Here is a 3,029-nt window from a genome sequence, read left to right as displayed (position 1 = left end):
GGATTTCCCGAGAGGCTTCAGGTGGCCTCAGAGGCTACGTGGTGTGGTGAAGGGGGCGCTGGCCTAGGCACCTGGGATGTGGGCCAGGCCAGGGAGCTGCTTTGCTTGGTAGGTCTCAGTTTCCCCATCTGGACGGCAGGGTGGCTTCCTGCCTGTCTGTGGGGTGCTGGGGAGGCCCTGGCAAGGCGCCCAGCGTTGCCAGTTGCAGGAGGATGGCTGCATAACGGCGAACCGGGGAGGTTGCCTCCTGCCTGCCACAAGGCACCATTGCCGTGCGTGCAATTAAGCACCACTGTTTCATCAGTCACAAAATCCAAATGGAAAAACAGAGACATAAATACGCCCGCCCAGGGAGCTGCCGGACCGCATGTGGGGCCCAGAGGAGGCAAGCATGGGCGCCGCGCCATGGAGAGGATTGCACGTCCCGGGGGGCAGCGCGGGCTGACTCGGGGCAGAGGGTGAGCCTGGCCTGCAGGTCCTGGGCCCGGGGGGATGCAGAAGGGGATGGGTGAGCTCTGAGGAACCAGCCCTGGAGGGAGAAAGGCTCGGGGTGGGGGTGGGGGGGACACTGTAGGGCGGCCCCTCGGGATCTTTGATTTGTTCAGTTACAGACTCTCGCACGCCCCAGAAAGCTCGGGAAAAATCCATGGCCTGAAAAACCAATTCAAGTTTCACGACCTGCCAGGGTGCCGGCCGAGCCTGCCCGACAGAGGGAGCAGGCAGCCCTGGAAATGGGGGTGCAGGAGCAGGCAGAGAGGCGGGTCACATGCCGGCACCGTGGGGCCAAGCTGCTGCAGAGGGGTTCCCGGGGACGTCCGGAAGCGAAACCCTGAGAAAGGAGGCTCACACTGTGCCCCAGATTGGCTTCCCGAGCAACCTCCCTTCTCCGGGCCTCAGTTTCCCCTTCTGCAACACAGCGATCACCCCCGAGCAACTCTGGCTTGGTGTGGTAGGAACTGGGCACCACCAGCTGTGCACACTGTGAAGTAGGGGGAGGGGGGTCTGCGGGCGTCGCCCGCCGTAACCGTGACGACGACGGCTGTGAAAGGCGCCGGCTGTTCCTGGACCGGCGCAGTGTGTTTGCGGCTGTTGTGTGACACCCACACCCCACCAGACTTGTTTTCAAACGGCGTTTTGCTAGCCAGGCCGAACGCGGCTGCGTTCCTGCGAGCGTGCCAGCCTCTCCCTTCTCCCTGCCAACCTCGGGGGTGGCGCTGTGGCTTCCAAAATCTCATTACCGCCACCATTTCCCGTCCTCCGCCGCTCCCTCCTCTCCTGCCCTCTCTCCCCCACTCTCTCTCCTTTCGGAGGATAAATTTCTGTAGCAGCCAATTACAGCCGTTTGATGTGCGTAATGATGGAACCGTGGAAATTGGAACTGGCACCTCGGAGGACAGCGGAGGGGGAAGAAACGCAACGTACATGAATCAAGCGTTTTCTTGGAGTTTTCTCCCATTGCCAACGATTTGCTGGGGCCCGGACTCAAAGCTCGGGCCGCGGGCGGCGGGGGGCGCGGTGGGGCTGGGAGCTCTGGGCCAGCCGCGCCTGCTCCTAAGCACCGATCAATTACGGCGCAGACAAGCCGGTGTCACATGTGATTCACAATGTCAATTTCATGCTCGTGGTAACCATTTAAGAAAGAGCCGGGCCGGTTTTACATTTGATAAGAAATCAGCAGCGTTTGTGTTTGTAAAAAGACCGATCACAGAGTGTGACAGGTCCCAGACATTGCCAGGCGGCGTCGACGGCCCGTCTGGAGTCTGTCAGAGACTCACAAGTATTTATTTCAAATGGGTTCCCCCCGTCCCCGCCGCCCCCCTCGAGCCGGGACGTGAAAATAAACTGTCAGTCTCTATTTACAGCTGTACAAGCTGGAAATACAGAGAATTTTAGGTTAAATTGTCAGTTAACAGAATTCAAAATAGAAAAAAGAAATGGGCCCGGCCGGCTTTATTGCCCGTTTTGATAGGAAAAGTCATCTGTGGGTTTGGAGGGTGGAAGGAGCCCCCGGGGGGGAGAGGTGGGCTGCGCCCTGGGCCCAGGAAGGCCTGAGAAGGCCCAGCTAGAGGACTTCCCGGTGCTGGCGAGAATCAGGGCAGTCTTAGGGCTAATTAGGCCGGAGACGGGGCTAATAGAGCTGGTGTCCCTGCCCGGGCCCTGCTCCCTGACAATTTGCCCATTTAGCGTCTTCAGGAGCGTAGGCACGGCTAATCCGGCCAGGAGGACCTCCTTGGACGCACAGCTTCTGCTAGGAAGACAGAGCTGCCTCCCGCCTGCTCTCCCGACTCAGGGTCTGGCCCGAGGCTCTGCTGCCCATGCGCCGGTGACCAGGGCCCCCGGGTGGGTGTCATGCCACCTGCCAGATCTTCCGGGGCTGCGGGGACGGGAGGGTGCCCACCCTGGCTCCGGGTGGGACACGGAGGCTCAGCGAGGCCCCCCGACGAGACCCCTCCTCTCGGTGGGGTAGACACCCGGTCTCGGGGCTGTGTTCACGGAACCCCAACCTCGAACCCTGACTTCTTACCTTTCGCCTCCACAGTGGGGTCTGCGGAGCCAGCACCACCACACTTTGCCATATTGAATGACGGGAGCTGTGTCTGGCCGGGTGGACATCGATGGGGCCCCCAGCGGCCCTGGCAGCAGGACAAGCAGGCCGATGTCGGCTGCATCTCCAGGACAACGCGGACGAGTTGTCTGCTTTCTCCGGGTTTCCAGGAGCCAGCACTCCCTGGCACCAGCCTGGTGGGCAGGGGGGCTGCGGCCCCCGGGGGGCTGAGCCGGGATGTGGGGGAGACGAGGTGCACCTCCCACGGCAGAGGCCTGGAAAGGGGCCTGAGAAAGGGCCTGGGCTGGGGAGTCAGGGCTGTGTCTTGGTTTTCTCATCTGTGAAATGGGGAGAAGTGTCTACCTCCAGTGCCCGTGAGGCTCCAACGCACTCCCGGTAGCACGTGGCAGGCAGTAGGGCCCCCTCTCACCCCCGTGTGCTGTGTGGCCCCGAGCCCTTCCCTCCCCTCTCTGGGCACCGGAGG

At 61.9% G+C, this 3,029-nt stretch overlaps 1 annotated feature.

The window, feature by feature from the left end:
- Positions 728-1,602: an enhancer, noted in NCBI's record as "H3K27ac-H3K4me1 hESC enhancer chr7:1329612-1330486 (GRCh37/hg19 assembly coordinates)". NCBI's record gives its function as "activates a minimal SCP1, AML or CMV promoter by ChIP-STARR-seq in naive H9 embryonic stem cells {active_cell/tissue: H9 hESC(naive)}" and the evidence as "EXISTENCE:reporter gene assay evidence [ECO:0000049][PMID:30033119]".

Source organism: Homo sapiens, chromosome 7 (assembly GCF_000001405.40).
Source record: "Homo sapiens chromosome 7, GRCh38.p14 Primary Assembly".
NCBI classification, from domain to species: Eukaryota; Metazoa; Chordata; class Mammalia; order Primates; family Hominidae; genus Homo; species Homo sapiens.
The sequence above is the reverse complement of the archived record's forward strand: the minus strand, read 5'-3'. Positions and strand labels throughout refer to the sequence as shown.